The sequence below is a fragment of the Homo sapiens genome, chromosome 13 (assembly GCF_000001405.40).
Source record: "Homo sapiens chromosome 13, GRCh38.p14 Primary Assembly".
Taxonomy (NCBI): Eukaryota; Metazoa; Chordata; class Mammalia; order Primates; family Hominidae; genus Homo; species Homo sapiens.
In genome coordinates, this window is record NC_000013.11 from 113,952,505 (window position 1) to 113,972,084 (window position 19,580).

At 55.3% G+C, this 19,580-nt stretch overlaps 1 protein-coding gene across 8 annotated transcripts in view; it reads right to left on the minus strand.

The window, feature by feature from the left end:
• The window catches only part of C13orf46 (chromosome 13 open reading frame 46), a 47,563-nt gene that overhangs the window by 25,991 nt on the left and 1,992 nt on the right, over positions 1–19,580 (minus strand). For 4 of the 8 annotated variants that reach the window (XM_047429981.1, XM_047429983.1, XM_047429982.1 and 1 more), the window contains exon 1: positions 999–4,267. In XM_047429981.1, coding sequence (XP_047285937.1) covers positions 2,031–3,905 — 1,875 coding nt within the window. In that variant the 5' untranslated portion in view covers positions 3,906–4,267 and the 3' untranslated portion in view covers positions 999–2,030. Of the gene's footprint in view, positions 1–998; positions 4,336–11,741; positions 12,052–12,422; positions 12,491–14,836; positions 15,083–15,962; positions 16,011–16,090; positions 16,257–17,666; positions 17,719–19,580 lie in introns of those variants that run through there. The other 4 variants (XM_047429985.1, NM_001365455.2, XM_006719995.4 and 1 more) reach the window with 4 other exon arrangements.

The following is a 19,580-nucleotide window of genomic DNA, read 5'->3' on the forward strand; positions in this document are numbered from 1 at the left end:
GGCTCTGACAGCCTCGCTCACTTACTGGAATCTGCACAGGTCAGGGGCCAGTGGGGACTGAGGATAAAACTGAGGCAGACTGGGCCTGGGGCAACGGGGGCCACCACCCCAGGACCACTGGCCGGCCCTAGAAAGCCCAGGCGGCATCTGTGCCCCATAGGACTGAAGGCCAAGGGCAGCGTCCTTCTAGGGGGAGCCTGGGCTTCCACCCCTCCCTGGATGTCACCACAGCTGATTTGCTGAGCTCAGGGCTGTGCATCTACAGGGGGTTCCTGCCCTGGGCCCCTGCCTGGTCCACTCCATCGACCCCAGCGCTGCTGCCTGAGCCTCTCAGCCCAACGGGCCGGGCAGCAGCAGGAACACGCTCATGCTGGGCGGGGCGGCGGGGCAGAGGCAGCCCCCGGCCTCAGCAGCATCAACCACGTGGCAGGAGCTGCTCTCGGGCTCTGCGGCGCGTAGACCTGTTTCCTCAGGGATGTCTCCTGCTCCCCACAGTCTCCAAAGCCCAGCCTCGTCCCCTCCACTAAGACGGGGCTTGGCCTCACCGCTGACCATCCTGGACGCTGACTGCCGCTGCCAGGACCCTCTGAGTTCAGCGCCCACTGAGCCCTTCCCCAGACCCCCGGCCTGGCACAAGGCAGCCCCATTCCTTGGGTGTGTGGCTGCTGAGTGCCCTGAACAGCTCGCTCGGGACCTGCCCGCTTCTCTGATGGGAGTTGGGGCCCAAGCCAGGTGGCCACTCACATCCCACAGGGCGTGTGCCTGCGCCACGGAAATCTCCCTGAGGTAGGAAGGTGTGAGCCAGGCCTGGCCGCCCTGGAGTGCCCAGAATCAAGGCTCAGAGGAGCAGCACGTGGAACTTTACCCCCCGTGGCAACAATCACCTCTCCGGGGTCCCAGGAGTCAGCCCTTCCCACCCCAGCACTGGCCCTGATCAGCTCTTCCCCCGGACACTGTGACCCCCACCCCACCAGACAGTGAAGGAGGAACAGAATTACCCTGGGTTTGAGGAAATGAGCTCAGAGCCCAACAGAAGGCAAAGGCGCGTCTGACTCTGGAAGGCTCACATTCTAACAGCTAAGCCACTGCCAAGCTCCTGTGTCTGCAGAGCCATGGGACCTCCCTGTCCTAGAGGTGGCTGCCGCCAGCATACCCAGAATGAGGCCAGCCACACGCGGCGACAGGACGAATACACGGGTGGACAGACTCATGCCGATGTTTGCTCTGTGGGGGAGGGTGCTGGGAGCCACCCGGCAGAGCTGCCGCCTCCTGCCCCACCAAGGGGACAAACCAACCGTATTTCCGGAAGCTTCTCTGGGTGCCTTTCTGGTTGGCACAGTTGGAGGCCGCAACTGAGTCACACCCAACTGCCCGGCAGCCTGTCCAGGACAGCCCGTCCAGGGCCCATTTCCGGTTGTCTGGGAAATGATGACTCTGGGGCCGATGGGCACTTATCTTCTGTGGTGTCTTTCAGTCAAGGGTGGGTGCTGGCTTTGGGGGGTCCCCTTTCTCTCTGCAGCCTGGATGGTGCCCCACTTTGATCAGAGGAAACTACCCAGTGGGACAAGCTCTGCGTGGCATGCGGCTCCCTGAAAAGGGCCCCTCCCTCCCTGGCTGAGTGATGGGCAGAGCTCACCCTCTGGGAGCCTCTGCATTATCATGTGCACCACAGGGACGGCCCCCATGTGTCTCCACGGGAATAGACAGTGCACACAGCATCTCCGCCTGTGGCCTCTGACTGCCTTAGAGACACCCGGATCAGAGATGCTGCAGGTCACCTGCCCGTGCCCTCCTGTGCACATGTGTGGTATGTACGAGCATGTATGTGCTGTGTACATATGAATATGCACGTGTGCGTGTCTGAACGAGAGGGCTCTGGGTGGATTCTGGTGAAACTCGTCTTACAGGCATGTCCTGGAGCCCCCCACACCCCTAGGAAGACTCCCTCTCCTCCTCTGAGTGGGGAGCATGTGGCTTCCCTCCAGGGACAGATCCTAGTGCCAGCACCACAGTCTCTGTTGCTCTCGCAGTCACAGCCGGGGCTCAGCTGCGTCCACCGTGCTCCTGGCTCCTGCAGGGACTTTGGTGACACAGCAGATGCTCCATCCCTGCCCTGCACCTCTCACTCCTGCCTGGTGGGGGTGCTTCCAGGAGCTGCAGCTCACACGAGGCCCACAAAGGGCTGAGCCTCCCCTGCTGTGCCCCAGGGGCCTCTGTCCCCACCCAACAAGCCACTGAGCAAGAGGCCAGGGCAGGAAGGGGCTGGAGTCCTCCAGCTGGTGGAGACGAGGAGCAGCTGGTGGAGACGAGGAGCATCCGGTGGAGATGAGGAGCATCCGGTGGAGATGAGGAGCATCTCGTGGGGAGGAGGAGCATCTGGCAGAGACGAGGAGCATCTGGCGGAGACGAGGAGGAGCATCTGGCGGAGACGAGGAGGAGGATCTGGCGGAGACGAGGAGGAGGATCTGGCGGAGACGAGGAGGAGGATCTGGCAGAGAGGAGGAGTAGGATCTGGCGGAGAGGAGGAGTAGGATCTGGCGGAGAGGAGGAGCATCCGGCGGGGATGAGGAGCATCCAGTGGGGATGAGGAGCAGCTGGTGGAGAGGAGCAGCAGCTGGTGGAGACGAGGAGCATCCGGTGGAGATGAGGAGCATCTCGAGGAGAGGAGGAGCATCTGGTGGAGAGGAGGAGCATCCCGTGGAGACGAGGAGCATCCCGTGGAGACGAGGAGCATCTGGCGGAGACGAGGAGCATCTGGCGGAGAGGAGGAGTAGTATCTGGCGGAGAGGAGTAGTATCTGGCAGAGAGGAGTAGTATCTGGTGGAGAGGAGGAGTAGTATCTGGTGGAGAGGAGGAGCATCCGGCGGAGAGGAGGAGCATCCGGCGGAGACGAGGAGCATCCGGCGGTGACGAGGAGCATCCGGCGGAGATGAGGAGCATCCGGTGGAGAGGAGGAGCATCTCGAGGAGCGGAGGAGCATCTGGCGGAGACGAGGAGCATCTCGTGGAGCGGAGGAGCATCTGGCGGAGACGAGGAGCATCTCGTGGAGAGGAGGAGCATCTCGTGGAGAGGAGGAGCATCTCGTGGAGCGGAGGAGCATCTGGCAGAGACGAGGAGTAGTGTCTGGCGGAGACGAGGAGTAGTGTCTGGCAGAGACAAGGAGTAGTGTCTGGCAGAGACGAGGAGTAGTGTCTGGCGGAGAGGAGGAGTAGTGTCTGGCAGAGACGAGGAGTAGTGTCTGGCAGAGAGGAGGAGCATCCGGCGGAGACGAGGAGCAGCCGGCGGAGACGAGGAGCAGCCGGCGGAGACGAGGAGCAGCCGGTGGAGACGAGGAGCATCTCGAGGAGAGGAGGAGCATCTCGAGGAGAGGAGGAGCATCCGGTGGAGAGGAGGAGCATCTCGCAGAGAGGAGGAGCATCTCGCGGAGACGAGGAGCATCTGGCGGAGACGAGGAGGAGCATCTGGCGGAGACGAGGAGTAGGATCTGGCAGAGAGGAGGAGTAGGATCTGGCGGAGAGGAGGAGTAGGATCTGGCAGAGAGGAGTAGGATCTGGCGGAGAGGAGGAGTAGGATCTGGCGGAGAGGTGGAGTAGTATCTGGCGGAGAGGAGGAGTAGGATCTGGCGGAGAGGAGGAGTAGTATTTGGCGAAGAGGAGGAGCATCCGGCGGAGACAAGGAGCATCCGGTGGAGACGAGGAGCACCCGGTGGAGACGAGGAGCATCTCGAGGAGACGAGGAGCATCTCGACGAGAGGAGGAACATCCGGTGGAGAGGAGGAGCATCTGGTGGAGACGAGGAGCATCTGGTGGAGAGGAGGAGTAGTATCTGGTGGAGAGGAGTAGTATCTGGTGGAGAGGAGGAGCATCTGGTGGAGAGGAGGAGCATCTGGTGGAGAGGAGGAGCATCTGGTGGAGAGGAGGAGCATCTTCCCGTGCTTGTTTATTGTGTTTGTTGAAGGTCACGTCATCACTCACCCAGTGGGCAGTGGGTTTCAGGCGTGGCTCACACCTGGTGTGGTCATCGGCACCCCAGCGTTGCTCAGAGCTGGCGGGATCTTTAGCCCAAAGGCGCAGTCTGTGCTCTCGCTCCTTCCAGGCCTGGCCAGTCCCACAAGAAGAAAACAGAAACCTCAGTGCCTGGCAGAGAAGGCTCTTGGGCGGCAAGTAGGTGGCCGGATCGCCCTCCGTCCCGCCTCCTGTGCCCCCAGCCCCTCTGCACCCCGTCTCCTTCCTCTTCTTCGCCAAGCTCTGAGCACCCTCTCCGGGGCGCTAGGTGCTCTCCTTTGCCCTCTTCCTGGTGGAGTACGGGATGCAGCACACCCAGCTGGTCTGCATCCTGCAGGGCGAGAGGAGGGCAGGTGGGTGAGAAAGGGTCCTGGGCCAGCACTGTGGCCACAGGCACCCCGAGAGCAGCACCCCCAACCTGAAGTGCACTGGGAGGTCTGCCCTGCACTTGTGTATGCACCCCCTTTCATCAAGTGCACTGGGGAGTCTCCCCTGTACCTGCATATGCACCCCCGTTCATCAAGTGCACTGGGGGGTCTCCCCTGTACCTGCATATGCTCCCATTTCATCAAGCACACTGGGGGGGTCTCCCCTGCACCTGCATATGCATCCCCTTTTATCAAGCACACTGGGGGGTCTCCCCGCACCTCTGCATGCAACCCCTTTCATCAAGCGCACTGGGGGGTCTCCCCTGCACTCTGCCTGCACCCCCTTTCATCAAGCGCACTGGGGGTCTCCCCTGCACTCTGCATGCACCTCCTTTCATCAAGCACACTGGGGGGTCTCCCCTGCACTCTGCACCCCCTTTCATCAAGCACACTGGGGGATCTCCCCTGCACCTCTGCATGCACCCCCTTTCATCAAGCACACTGGGGGGTCTCCCCCGCACTCTGCCTGCACCCCCTTTCATCAAGTGCACTGGGGGGTCTCCCCTGCACTCTGCCTGCACCCCCTTTCATCAAGCACACTGGGGGTCTCCCCTGCACTCCACATGCACCCCCTTTCATCAAGCACACTGGGGGTCTCCCCTGCACTCTGCCTGCACCCCCTTTCATCAAGCGCACTGGGGGGTCTCCCCTGCACTCTGCCTGCACCCCCTTTCATCAAGCACACTGGGGGTCTCCCCTGCACTCTGCCTGCACCCCCTTTCATCAAGCACACTGGGGGTCTCCTCTGCACTCCACATGTACCCCCTTTCATCAAGCACACTGGGGGTCTCCCCTGCACTCTGCCTGTACCCCCTTTCATCAAGCGCACTGGGAGTTCTCCCCTGCACTCTGCCTGCACCCCCTTTCATCAAGCACACTGGTGGGTCTCCCCTGCACTCTGTATTCACCCCCTTTCATCAAGCGCACTGGGGGTCTCCCCTGCACTCCATATGCACCCCCTTTCATCAAGCACACTGGGGTCTCCCCTGCACTCTGTATGCACCCCCTTTCATCAAGTGCACTGGGGGGGTCTCCCCTGCACTCTGCCTGCACCCCCTTTCATCAAGCACACTGGGGGATCTCCCCTACACTCTGCCTGCACCCCTTTCATCAAGTGCACCGGGGGGGTCTCCCCTGCACTCTGTATGCACCCCCTTTCATCAAGCACACTGGGGGTCTCCCCTGCACTCCACATGCACCCCCTTTCATCAAGCGCACTGGGGGGTCTCCCCTGCACTCTGCCTGCACCCCCTTTCATCAAGTGCACTGGGGGTCTCCCCTGCACTCCACATGCACCCCCTTTCATCAAGTGCACTGGGGGTCTCCCCTGCACTCTGCATGCACCCCATTTCATCAAGCCTTAGGGGCTGTGGTGAGTGGCGGATGAGAAGCCCAGTTTGCTGGTTTCTGCTTGAGCCCTGACTGGGAGGACATGCAGGTCTCCAGAAGGATGCCTGAAGACAAAACAGCAAAAAGCACAAGGGCCCTGCCTCCGTCCCCACCTGGAGCCACTATGTTCTTAAAAGATCAGTGACCTGGGTCCGTGCCTTTTCCTGCACACGACGTCTGCCGCGGTTCGTGATTACGCCTCTGTAATCTACAGCCAAACATGCCCTCGCACTCAAACCTTGATGTGATTCTGCATGCGCCCAGCCCCCGCCGCCTGTCCAGGAACCGTGAACAGAAACACGGCGTGGGGCAATGGACAGACGGCTCGCGGGCGACAGCCTCAGTGCACAGTCCTCACTAAGACTTCCACGTAAAACAAACTCTTGAAAAGCTTTTTTTTCCTTAATTGGCAATCATCGTGCCCATGAAGGGACTCCTAGCGGACTGCCCAGGGACACTGCAGGGACCTGGCACCTTGACCCCAGCACAGGCCCTTGGGGCCTCTCTGGCCCCTGCACAGCTGCACGTGGTGGGGTCTCTCCTGGGGTCTCTCTGGGTCCTCTCCTGGGGCTGTGCTAGGGCTCAGACCTCCTGCTTGGCTGACAGCCCTGAGTTTTGGAGACTTTTCATTTGTTAAGGAGAAAAATTCTCCTAGTTGAAAGATACTAGGGGCCAGGTGCTGTGACTCATGCTTGTAATCCCAGCACTTGGGAGGTTGAGGCAGGTGGATCACTTGAGCTCAGGAGTTAAAGACCAGCCTGACCAACATAGGGAGATCCCCATCTCTACTAAAATAAAAAATTAGCTGGGCATGATGGCACTTGTGGTCCCAGCTACTTGGGAGGCTGAGGCAGGAGAATCACTTGAGCCCAGGGGGTGGAGGTTGCAGTGAGCTGGGAACACACCACTACACTCCAGCCTGGGTGACAGAGTGAGATCTGCCTCAAAAAAGAAAAGGAAAAGATTCTAGGAAGAAATGGATGTGTGAGGCTGATTGGGTAGAATGTGTGAGGCTGCATGATTGGCTAGGATGTGTGAGGTTGTCTGATTGGGTAGAATGTGTGAGGCTGTCTGATTGGCTAGGATGTGTGAAGCTGTCTGGCCAGGTTGAGCAGGTGCTTCCCCTTTTAATCTGACTCCCAGTGGGAAATGAATCATAACAAAGTGAAACAACAGGCACTGGACAACCAACCTCCAGTCAGTGCCCAGCAGGCGTGTGACACATGGAGCCCTTCTAGATGGGAGGGGTTCATGAAAGGAGATTTAATGCAGAAATGGTCAAAAATGGTGTTCTTAAACATTAAGGCATACCAGGCTTTCTAAGGCTGTCACTGGCCCACTCTTTTGCTTATTTTAAACCAATGAGCAAATTATATCAAGGAAAATTTGGAGCTCAAATGGCAATCTGCGATGATAGAGTTAACATGTGGACTTGTCCAAGTTATCTCTCTTTTTATCCTGAAGCAAAATGACTGGCTATTTTAAAAAGAAGTGTAGGACAAAGCACAAAGTCCAAGCATGTCAGAATGGTCTGTAAAAGTCATGATAAGGTTTATGAAAAGATAATTTTGAAAAGAATTCTGTGTGTAAGTTGGCTGTGATTAAAAGGGAATTATTTATATGTCCTTCTAAAGATTGAGCTTTGGGCCAGGCATGGTGGCTCATGCCTGTAATCCCAGCACTTTGGGAGGCCAAGGCAGGCAGATCATGAGGTCAGGAGATCGAGACCATCCTGGCTAACATGGTGAAACCTTGTCTCTACTAAAAATACAAAAAAAAAAATTAGCCAGACATGGTGGTGGGCGCCTGTAGTCTCAGCTACTTGGGAGCTGAGGCAGGAGAATGGCGTGAACCCAGGAGGCGGAGCTTGCAGTGAGCTGAGATCGTGCCACTGCACTACAGCCTGGGCGACAGAGCGAGACTCTGTCTCAAAAAAAAAGATTGAGCTTTGATATTAAATATACATTAATACAAAACTAAAGATTGGTCCCCTATGTCACCACAAAGTTTCCTTAAAGTACTGGTTTGCTCTTAATGAAATTGCAAGAGGTTTTGATTTTTAACTCTGAAATCATTTCTTTTGAAACTGCTCAGGTCTACATCTCAGAAACTCAGCTTCTGCTGTCCCTTGTCACGTGTGGTTTGCAGGTCGTGCGTGGCTGCCTCAGCTCTTTCTCCCCTTAAGAAGGCCTGGGATAACAACTTTCTCCTTCAAACTTTTTGTCAAGTCCTGCAACTTTTTCCTCCAGTTCTAACTCTGCTGTTTAAGCAACGTTTTCCTTAAGTGCAGCTTCAATTTATACACTTGGCTTTTCTTGCTATGTCTGAATTGTTCAACATAATCAGGCAACTTCTCATGCTGTTACCAACAGCTGTGTGTTCCCCAGCTCAAGGCCCTAGTTTCCTTGTTTACTGTCCTCTGTAATCAAGTGCACACCCACAGCCCTGAAGATGCTCTTCCTGTGTCAGGCGAGGTTCCATCGGATCTGACTTCCAGGTTACCTGCATGGGCTTCCCTCAAGGAGAGGCAATCACACTGCAGGTTTTTCTGTACCTTTTGGTAACTGGCTTAAAAACCAAATATTTTATATTTTATCAAGATAATTTCTCCTTTATCTTTATTAGATTTTGATTACTTAAGACAACTGAGCTTTAAAAGGGTTATGGTTTTTACAGCAATGTAACTTCCTAAATTGCCTGTGAAGTCTTTTGATAATCACTCTGGTTAAATGAGTGACTATTATTTTTAAATGATCTGTAATTCTGTTTTGATTGTTTTGAACCTTTTGACATCTTTTGCAGGTTTCCACAGAATCAAAATCCTACATAAAGTCTTTTCAGATTAAACAATTACATTTGGTAAAACTCTATGGGTAGCATCATCAAATGATAAATGATACTAAATCTTCTTTTAGTTTTAATTGTGAGCATGTTATTGATATAAATGTTCTAAAAATTACATACATTTATATTAATATAATATCAGTCATAATTTTGATAATGTCCAATTGTAAACTATATTTGTATGGGCATGTTATCCGTGTGAATATTCTAAAGATTATGTGAAAATGTATAGAAGCTGGGCAGTCCTGATGTGACACTGTCAGTCATGATTTTGGTTGTTTTCTTACAATGTTATGTGTAATAGAAATAACTGTTTTCTTGTTGGTTAGAAGCTTTCATCAAATTTTAACTGTGGCTGTTCTAAGGTTTTGCATCTGTAGTCATTGTTCTGAAGTATTCTCTAAAAACATTTATAATCAGCTCTAGTCCAAAACTGCTTTTTGTGGAAAGGACTGTAATAAATATGGGTACAAAAAGGTGGGAAATATTAAGAGCACAATTAATGACATAATATACAAAAGTGGTTCCAGTTTTGTTCACTGGTTATCCATTTTTTTTCCAATCTGTAGTTACTGTGATGCTGTGAAGTGTGCAGTGCTCTGTGTGCTCTGTGTGATCTGTGGCTACTCTGGAACTATGAAGTGTGCAGAGCTGTGCGTGATCTGTGGCCCCTCTGATGCTATAAAGTGTGCAGTGCTCTCCATGATCTGTGGCTACTCTGGAACTATGAACTGTGCAGAGCTATGTGTGATCTGTGGCTACTCTGGAACTATGAAGTGTGCAGAGCTCTGCGTGATCTGTGGCCCCTCTGATGCTATGAAGTGTGCAGTGCTCTGCGTGATCTGTGGTTTCCCTGTAACAGTCCTGGGGATGTATTGTGTTGGGCAGGTACAGGAAAAGGCAACACTAGGAAAAAGAAAATCCAGATCATGCTAATTAAAAAAGAGATGGAGGCTGGGTGCGGTGGCTCACGCCTGTAATCCCAGCACATCGGGAGGCTGAGGCAGGTGGATCCTGAGGTCAGGAGATCGAGACCATCCTGGCTAACACGGCGAAACCCTGGCTCTACTAAAAATACAAAAAAAATCTAGCTGGGCGTGGTGGTGGGCGCCTGTAGTCCCAGCTACTCAGGAGGCTGAGGCAGGAGAATGGCGTGAACCTGGGGGGCGGAGCTTGCAGTGAGCCGAGATGGTGCCACTGCACTCCAGCCTGGGCAACAGAGTGAGACTGTGTCTCAAAAACAAAAAAAGAGATGGAGCCTGCCAAAGCATTTTCCAATGAACACGCAAGTGTGCACGTGAGCTGATGCCCATTCATTACAGCCACGGCTGAGGACTCTCGGCCTTCCTGGGCGGGAACCTCCCGGTATTGGGAAATCAGCATTGGGTCTTGTAAATGCAACTGGATGGTGATCCAAAGGGGGAATTTGTGAGATGAGGTAGCAAACCTAAGAAGCCACGTCAGCTCGTTTCTGCTGGCAGCTCTCCCCACTGCACGCCACCAGCAGCCCCACTGGGCAGGTTTTCTGGGATAGCTGAGTCAAGGGGGATGGAGGCTGAGACCAGGAGATTTCGACCCAGGATTGTCCAGCTTGGGGCAGAAAACAGCCATCGAGCTGTGTGCCGAGTGCCAAATCCATCATCAGGAAACGATGAGAAAAATAGAGCTGTACTTGGAAAATACCTGCCCATTTTAAGCCCAGACTCAGGAGTCAAAACAACCCCAATGTCCTAGTGAAAGCTGGTGTGACCTGGTTACGGTAGGAGTCAAAAGAGGCAGAGACTCTGCTGAGTTGGGGCAGAGTGCAATGTTCTCGAGGACTTTCTCTCTCCCTGGAGACATAAAAATCTGAGAGCAGGTAGCGCAGGTAGGGCTGTCATCATCACAGCAGCAATCCGTCAGCAAAGCCAGACCAGTCGGGGGCCGAGGGCTGCAGCTCTCAAAGCTGGCCCTGGGCAAGGATGCCGCTTGGCAGGTACAGCTGCAGCCCCTGTCCTCAGCCTCCCCGCTATCCTCAGCCTCAGCCCGTCCTCAGCCTTGCCCCTGTCCTCAGCCTCGGCCCCTGTCCTCAGCCTCGCCCCTGTCCTCAGCCTCGGCCCTGTCCTCAGCCTCGGCCCCTGTCCTCAGCTTCACCCCTGTCCTCAGCCTCGGTCCCTGTCCTCAGCCCTCGCCCCGTCCTCAGCCTCGGCCCGTCCTCAGCCTCTCCCGTCCTCAGCCTCGCCCCTGTCCTCAGCCTCGCCCCTGTCCTCAGCCTCGGCCCTGTCCTCAGCCTCGGCCCCTGTCCTCAGCTTCACCCCTGTCCTCAGCCTCAGCCCGTCCTCAGCCTCGGCCCCTGTCCTCAGCCTCGCCCCTGTCCTCAGCCTCACCCCTGTCCTCAGCCCTCGCTCCAGTCCTCAGCCTCGCCCCTGTCCTCAGCCTCGGCCCCTGTCCTCAGCCGCAGTCCTTGTCCTCAGCCACAGCCCCCTCTCCTCAGCCTCGCCCGTCCTCAGCCTTGCCCCTGTCCTCAGCCACGGCCCCTGTCCTCAGCCTCAGCTGCAGCCACTGTCCTCAGTGTCGAAAGTCAGGTGCTCCCATGTGCTTTTAAGAGGTGGAAGCTGGGGTGATTTTTAAACATTTCTCTCTGTTGTGCTATTCCACATAATTCCCGTTATTGTAAATGACTGGTTAAAATGTTAATGTAACTGTTGTTTGTTTGTTTGAGATGGAGTTTCGCTCTTGTCACCCAGGCTGGAGTGCAGTGGTGCTATCTCGGTTCACCGCAACCTCCGCCTCCTGGGTTCAAGCGATTCTCCTGCCTCGGCCTCCCTAGTAGCTGGAACTACAGGCACCTGTCACCACGCCCAGCTAATTTTTTGTATTTTGGTAAACACAGGGTTTCACCATGTTGGCCAGGATGGTCTCGATCTCCTGACCTCATGATCTGCCCACCTCAACCTCCCAAAGTGCTGGGATTACAGGCTGAAAGAAGGTTTAGTATCATGTGACTGTTTTATAAAGCCGATAGAACAATTCATCCTTTAAAAAAATCTGTAAGAAATCAAAATACTGATAAACTGTTAATTCTGAGTGGTAGGCATTTGGACAATTGCTTTTTGTATTTTTGTGTGTTGCTTAAAATAAAACACTATAGATCCATGGGCCCCCTTCAATGGGCCAGTGTCTTCTCTCCCCACACCCATCTTCAGGGCCTCGGGCCTCGGGGAGTCTTGGGGCTTCCCTGGACCTACACAGCATCCAGCCTGGGGACACGGATCATCTCTTCGGAGGCTGCCTAGCCCCGGCCCCAGGGCCCGAGGCTTGTTGTGAGAGAAGCCTGCTTGGCTGTGACACCAGCCGTGTATGCACGGCTTCCCACTACCTGCAGGACCCAAGTCTGCAGCTAAAACCTAAACAGGAGAAGTCAGTACCATGCACTTATCACCTCTCCCCCCTCCTTCCTCCCTACTCTCCCTCCTCTTCCCCCTTCTCATCAGGTCCTTTTCCTGGCTGGTGGGTAGGAGACACGGCCTGGTTATGGGGTGAGGTGGGGCATCGTGAAGCTCGTCCCTGAGCCCTTCGAAGGTCCGATGTCCTGTTCCCTGCCCTCAGTCCCTCAGGCTCGGCAGGTGCTGAGCCTCGGCAGTGCCCAGGGAGAAGGGGGGACCGCCTGGGCTCGGCTCTGCCCACCACACACAAGGCATGGTGGGCACACCAGAGACCGTGGTGGGGGGAAAGTCCTCCTACCCCCACCTAGTGTGAGCCCACAAGCATCACTCACTCGTCTTCTGACAGATCTTCCACATCCATCTGGGACGGCTTCTCTTCCTTCTTGGCATCGGTGACCACCTGTGGGGAGTGGAGACATTTAAGGGATGGGAGGTGTCAGCCACGGGCACTGAGGCATAGCCTGTGGACCTGCTGGAGGATCAGGCTAGGGCACAGAGGCTGGATGACCTCCCATCAGACAGGGCTCTCTATTGACTGGACATTTCCAGTTAGGGGAACCTGACCAAGGAACTGCACCCTTGATGAGGCCTGGCTCCTGGACTGAAGACCAGGTCTGGCCTGTCAGCCCAACTGTGCCACTGACTGGCCCTCCTTGAGTCCTTAGAACTCATGTGCCCCAAGAATAGCCTTGTTGGGGGTTAACAACCAGCTCTCTCTGTGGCTCTGAGGGCAAAAGGGAGAGAAGGTACAGTCTGGAAAATAACTGACCCCCAGGAAGGAGCTTAAACTTGCCAAGAAAGAACTTCAATAAACTTCCAGAATGATGACTGTTCACTACAGCAAAGACATGGAGGAACACACCCCAGATGTTAGTGTTGGAAGTGCCCAGACAGGTCATTAAGTCAGCCTCTTCTTCTTACAGATAAGGATGATGATTATGGTGGTGATAATGTTGATGGTGATGACGATGGTGATGATGATGATTATAATGGTGGTGATGATGACGGTGACTATACTGGTGATGGTGGTGATGATGACAGTGATGATGATTGTGACAATGATGATGGTGATTATAATGGTGATGGTGATGATGATGGTGACAATGGTGATGGTGATTATAATGGTGGTGATGATGGTGAAGGTGATGATGGTGATGATGGTGATGGTGATGATGGTGATGGTGATGATGGTAATTATAATGGTGGTGATGATGGTGAAGGTGATGATGGTGATAATGGTGATGGTGATGATGGTGATGGTGGTGATGATGGTGATGGTGATGATGGTGGTAATGGTGATGGTGATGATGGCGATGGTGATGGTGACAATGATGATGATTATGATGGTGATGATGATGGTGATGGTGATTATAATGTTGGTGATGATGGTGACAGTGATAGTGGTGATGATGATGATGGTGGTGATGATGGTCATGATAGTGATGGTGATGATGATGCTGGTGATGGGAATGATGGTGGTGATGTGATGATGGTATTAATGATGGTGATGATGATGATGGTGATGATGGTGATTATAATGGTGATGATGACAATGGTGACGGTGATAGTGGTGATGGTGATGATGATGATGGTGATGATGGTCATGATGATGGTGATTATAATGGTGGTGATGATGGGGATAGCGATAGTGGTGATGGTGATGATGATGGTGACAGTGATGGTGGTGATGATGGTCATGATAGTGATGGTGATGATGATGCTGGTGATGGGAATGATGGTGGTGATGTGATAATGACGGTGATGATATTAATGATGGTGATGATGATGATGGTGATGGTATTAATGATGGTGATGATGATGATGATGTGATAATGATGGTGATGGTATTAATGGTGATGATGACGGTGGTGATGATTATAATGGTGATGATGATGGTGATGGTGATTATAATGGTGGTGATGATGGTGAAGGTGATGATGGTAATAATGGTGATGGTAATAGTGACGATGATGGTGATAGTGATAGTGGTGATGGTGATGATGATGGTGACAGTGATGATGGTCATGATAGTGATGATGATGATGATGCTGCTGATGGGAATGATGGTGGTGATGTGATAATGATGGTGATATTAATGATGATGGTGATAATGTTTATGGGGATGATGTTGCTGGTGGTGATGATGATGATGGTTGTGATATAATGATGGTGTTGATGCTGAGGATAGTAATGGTGGTGATGATGATGATGATACCCCATGATGATGATGATAAGCTTTCCTGGGTGTGAGGCACTGCTCTGAGAGCTTTCCCAGACAACCCTGGAATGCGGGTACTAATATGATTCCTACTTTATAGAGGAGACAACTGAGGCACAGGGAAGTATGATGAGTTGTTTTGAGCATTTACTGACAGAACCACACATCCACCAAAGCCCAGTCTCTGAGCTTCCAGGCCTGTGCCCTTTTCACCATCCCAACGTGATCCCCCACAAGAGGTTCTGAGGACCCATGGGCACCTTGAAGGTTAACCCAGGCCCCAGAGTCTCTGATAGTGCTGAAGTGTGCGTGAGTTGGAGTGTGGGAGGGTAAGGAAGAGGCTAGACCAATCCTCAACACCAGGGAGCTCTCCTGGAGCTGCTGGCCCCAGGTCTCTGCCTCCCTATCCAACACATGGCTATTGTGGGGTAAGTTCCCAGAAAAGCCTCCCAGGCTGGCCCTGCCAGGCAGCACAGGCGCTTTCCTGGTGGCTTTGGCTCTGCTTGTCTTGCGGTTTTCCATTTTTACCTCCTCAGCATGGTCTCCCAGATCAATCTCCACAAACACAGATGCTTTCTGCGAATGGAAACCACAGAGGTGTGGATGGCAGGCTTGGGTGAGCTGGAGAGGAACGTTGATTCCCTGGGAGGAACAGTGGCCCCTGGCCCTTGGGGCAGCCGGGGCAGACCCTGGTGATGACCATCAGGTCCCCAGATCCTGGCAATGCTGAACGAGGGCTCCTGGGACGCTGGGCAGAGCTGACGGCAGTATGGACTGTGAGGTGCCCATGTAGGAGAAGGATGTAGGAGGGATATGGCTTTCTCACCCCTCCCTACTCACCTCCCATCAGGGCCCTGAGACCCCAGAGGGTCTCCTCCAACCTCATCCTCTGAGAACTCGGGCCTCCAGGAGATGGGGCAATGCCCAGATCTTGGGGAGCCGGGCTGCTCCCACCCCAGCCCTGCTCGACAAGGCAGCACTCCTGCCCCACAGCCTGCCTGTGGGCCACACTCCACACCAAGGAGCAGGAGACCCCCCCCGGGATGTGAACGGCTTCAGCGGCTCAGGGTTTTGCTGTCCCAAGGCCTCCAACGGGGCACCTGGGCCAGCCCAGAACGTGTGTCTGATGGGAGCATTTGAGTCAACTCCAAGGGCAGTGTCTGGGGGTGGGTGAAGGACTTCCCAAGAGCCCTGGAATGAAAGCAAGGCCCGCCTGGCAAGCAGCGTGTCTGGTTGTGTTACCGTCCCCACCACACAGCTTGGAGGGAGAACAAAAGCCACTTTCCTTCACACGGTGCCACGTGAGAACCCCCACAGCATGACGTGTCCCTGGACAACACATCAAGCCTGGGGCTCTGGGTGTTTTCTGGGCCAAGGTCAAGCTGAGGGCACCTCCTCTCAGGGCCTCATACACCTTTAGTGACTGCACGTTTGGCAAGCAGGGGTCAGGCTGCCCTGGGATCGGGTAAAGAGTCTCAGAGCTTGGCCCCAAGCCTCTCTAGGGTAGCAGGGGCCCAGTCAGTCCAGCTTCACAGCCTGGCGCCTGCTGAGCTGACCCCCAGGCCACCGTCCCGGGCAGGTCCAGGCTCCGGCAGAACTCCCGCCTGGACAGGCCTCCCTTCTCACTTCTATTACTAAAGGGAAAAGCTCTTACCTCTTCTTCCTGAAGGTCATTTAGCTTTATGGACTCTGCCTCCTGTTCCTGTAAGACCAAAGAGGTTAAGTGAAGGCCGGGCTCCAAGGCAAGAGGAAAAAATGCACCGCTCCTCAGCGTGGCCCAACCTTGGCCTCCTGCAAGCCTCCGTCTGCGTGCTCGCCTTCCTGCACCTCCTGCATGCTGGCCTCCAAGTCGCTCTTCTCCCTCTCTGGGTCTTGTTTTCCACTCTCATGACCCAGCTTCCCAAGGGTGCTGAAGCTTTCCTTCTTGTCTTGTGCTAGGTTTTTCTGACTGCGGGAGGAGCAGGGAAAGTGGTTTGGAAGAGACGGCAGATAGCTGCGGGCAGCTCCTGGTCTCCTCTGGGTCTGTCTCCTTGGGCTTGAGGCTGGTGCCCCTGGGGTCTGGTGGGCACCTATGAGGTGCCCTGACCCAGCACAGAGTTCTGGCTCTGAAGGGCCCCACAGCCTGGCCCTCCTGGCTCCCTCTGCTGGCCCATCTTGCCTGGAAAACTTACCCTGTACAGCCAGGGTCTGGACTGGGATTACAGCCAACCTGGGCTTATTTTGGAAAGCAGGGTCTAACCTTGCTCAAAGAACCAAAATCTGATGAGAAGATGCAGCCACCCTGTCGCAGATCCACACTCCATGTGGATACCAAATGGGCCATGCTGGCCAGTAGGCTGGAGGGTCCACGGTTGGCCCTGCTGTTACTCGCACCAACCTCGTGACCCCTTCTGTGGTCTGCTATGGTGTGTGGCCAGGGGCAAGAGGAATGCAACAGGCAGTGAGGATGACAGGGGCTCCGCCACCATCTGCAATGGCGTTGACTTGGCCGAGGGTATTGACTGACTTGGCCAACGTGAGCAGACGCTTTCAGCTTTGCCACCCTAAAGGTGTGTGGTCTTCCCAGCTCAACTGCCCTCACCAAGGCCATCAGCTTCCCTGAGCTCTACGGAGTGGGAGGCTCCAGGCGCCGCACACATCCTGTCTAACACACGAACACTCACTCTCACCAACTGATTGCACCTTTGGCCGCTTCGGCGGCCGGACACCTTCCTTGGTCTCCACTCAACGGGAGCCATTTGTAAATAAGGGGGACTTGGCCCGTGCCTTGCCATGGTGCTGGTAAATCGACTTTGTTAGATCTGAGACAAATTTTTGAGGAATTCAATGACTTTTAAGTCTTCTTTGATGGCAGGAGGGTGAGTGGGTGGGAGAACCAGAGCTGGGTTAGAACGGGACGCGAGGTGCAGGGAGGCAAGAACTCGGCAGTACGAAGTGGGGATGTGCTGTCCAGGGCCCCACGCCCTCTCCCTAAAGGAGCACTCGAGTTGTTTACATCTAAGGTGGGCCCAGCAGTCCACTAGTGAGACGACGCCTCCTTCCCCAGAGGGCCATGGGGTGTCTACTGAGAGGGATGCAGCTGTGTGACCCTCAGGCCAGGGCCCGAGTCCTGAGGACACCACCCCGCTACAGGTGGGTCCTGTTCCCACGCTGAATTCCTCTCAAAATAAGGAGGATTTCCCAGCCCTCCCATCCAGGCCCTGCGCGGGGTCTTCGCAGGACCCAGGGCTCCCTCTGTCCCCTTCTAAGTGTCTACCTTGATGCCCGGGTACCACTCCCACACCCCACCCTCTCCTGTGTCCACCTCACTTTTCCCAGCTCCACCTTCACAAAGGCCAGCGTCGGACAGGCTGCTTACCAGCTGGCATCTTCCGCGTTACTGCTTGGGTCTTTCCCTTGATCTTCGGACTCTGGGGAGGAAGGACAGAGCCGTCAGCACCATTACACCGCAGCTACCGGAGCTCAGGACCTGCCCCAAGCCGCCCACAGCCACCCACAGCAGAGCTCAACTCTCAGCCATGGCTACAGCTAACTTGAGTTTCTCCCCGACCTGTGCCCATGCCCGGCCCTCCGGTATTTGCTATCGGCACTTTCCACAGCCTGGTGCCAGGGCCTTGAGCCTGGCTCAGCCCCAGCAGCTCAGCCCACACCTGGGCTCCACCTTCTCCCTGCAGGACTCAGGGTGAGGCATGGCCAGCCGCCTTACAGTAAACACATGAGGCTCCGGGACCTCTTGAAACTCCTCTTTGTCCTAGCACAGCTGGCTGGAGGTAGCTGAGCGGGAGGGTGGGAGAAGCCCACAAGACCTGCCCATGCCGGCTACTACCCCCAACCCAGGCTTCCTCTCACGGACAGGTGGGACTTGAAACCCCACTTGGCTTGTCCAGGAAAATCCACCAATCCCCAGGGTCTCTGGGCTCCCCGAGAGGCATTGCGGGATGTTTCTAGCAGTCTTTTTTCGGGACCACTTTATGTCTCGTGAGGATCTTTACCTTGATGTGACAGAGGACAGGGGCCCAGGAACATCAACTCGGGTGAGCGGTGCTCTGGTGCTCCCGGCAGGAACCCAAGCCTGGCTGTTGGCCACCGGCTTGCACCGAGCACACACTGCTCCCTGGCACACTTGGCTAAAGGTGTTGACTGACTTGGCCAACGTGAAACATTCCATTCTAGTTAAACACTGAGTTCTCCGTTCCCAGGAGCTTGCAAACCAGCACAGCCTTGTGAGGAAGTCATGTGGCAGAGGATTCTCCAAGCCCTAGGTGCTCAGGAGAGCCTTGGAGTGAGCGGATTCCAGATCCCACAGGGCCTCCAGCCGCATCGGAGCCGGGAATGTTTGCGGAGACCCTGGCTTCCCGCAGCTACTCCCTCTTCCCACAACACCCCCTTGGCCCGGGATTCAAATACAACAGGGATGATTCCAAAGCTTTAAATGATGCTTGTGATGGAAGAGACCAGACCTCCTCCCAGAGCTCGGCAGAGTCACATGGGCCACTCCAGGCAGGTCACTCAGCTCAGCCCACAGGCCCAAGGGGCAGCTGGGGAATGGGGCTCTTCCAGGGAAATGAGACCAATGGCCGACCACGAGGGGCTGCCCCCAACAGAGAAGCCACGAGTGGGGCCCAGAGGTGGAGCGCAGAGCCTTTGCAGAATCAACAGGCGTCCAGGGTGCATGTGGGCTCAAGGCAGGGCCTCAGTGGGTCTGGAACCCAGCGGATTCTCACTGTGCTCTTGCCGGCCTCTCTGGGCTGCCCTCCGTGAGCGCTGGTCTCCTGTGCTCCGCATGGCCCAGGCCCAGACACACCCCACTGGTGCCCCCGTGAAGTCGGCCACCCCACGTCTCCCGCATCCCGGAGGCCTCCCTGTGAAGTGGACGCGGCGTCTCACACATCCGGGCACCTGTGGGTGCACGTGGCACTGGGCATGTCATGGAGCCCACCAAGTCTGCGAGGGGTGAGGAGCTGAGTCCCTGCAGAAACCAAGGCCACGTCGGACTCTACCAGTGGTCAGCAAGGCCCGGCCCTTCTCCTCGGGTCACAGGGCTGGAAATGCCTCCTGCTCTTCTCCGGCAGAATCTCAGTTGTCTGGGGGCAGCCACAAAGCTCCAGGGAGGATGCGCTCCTGGGCCGTGGTCTCGAACCCTGAGGGTGCTGGTGCCTGGGGGAGGCTGTGCAGGGTGGACATCTTTGCCAGACAGGACAAGCGGCCACACAGAAGCCCGGCCTCCCTGCTGCGGCACCTCCCATCGTGCAGTTTTGGGCAAATCCAGCAG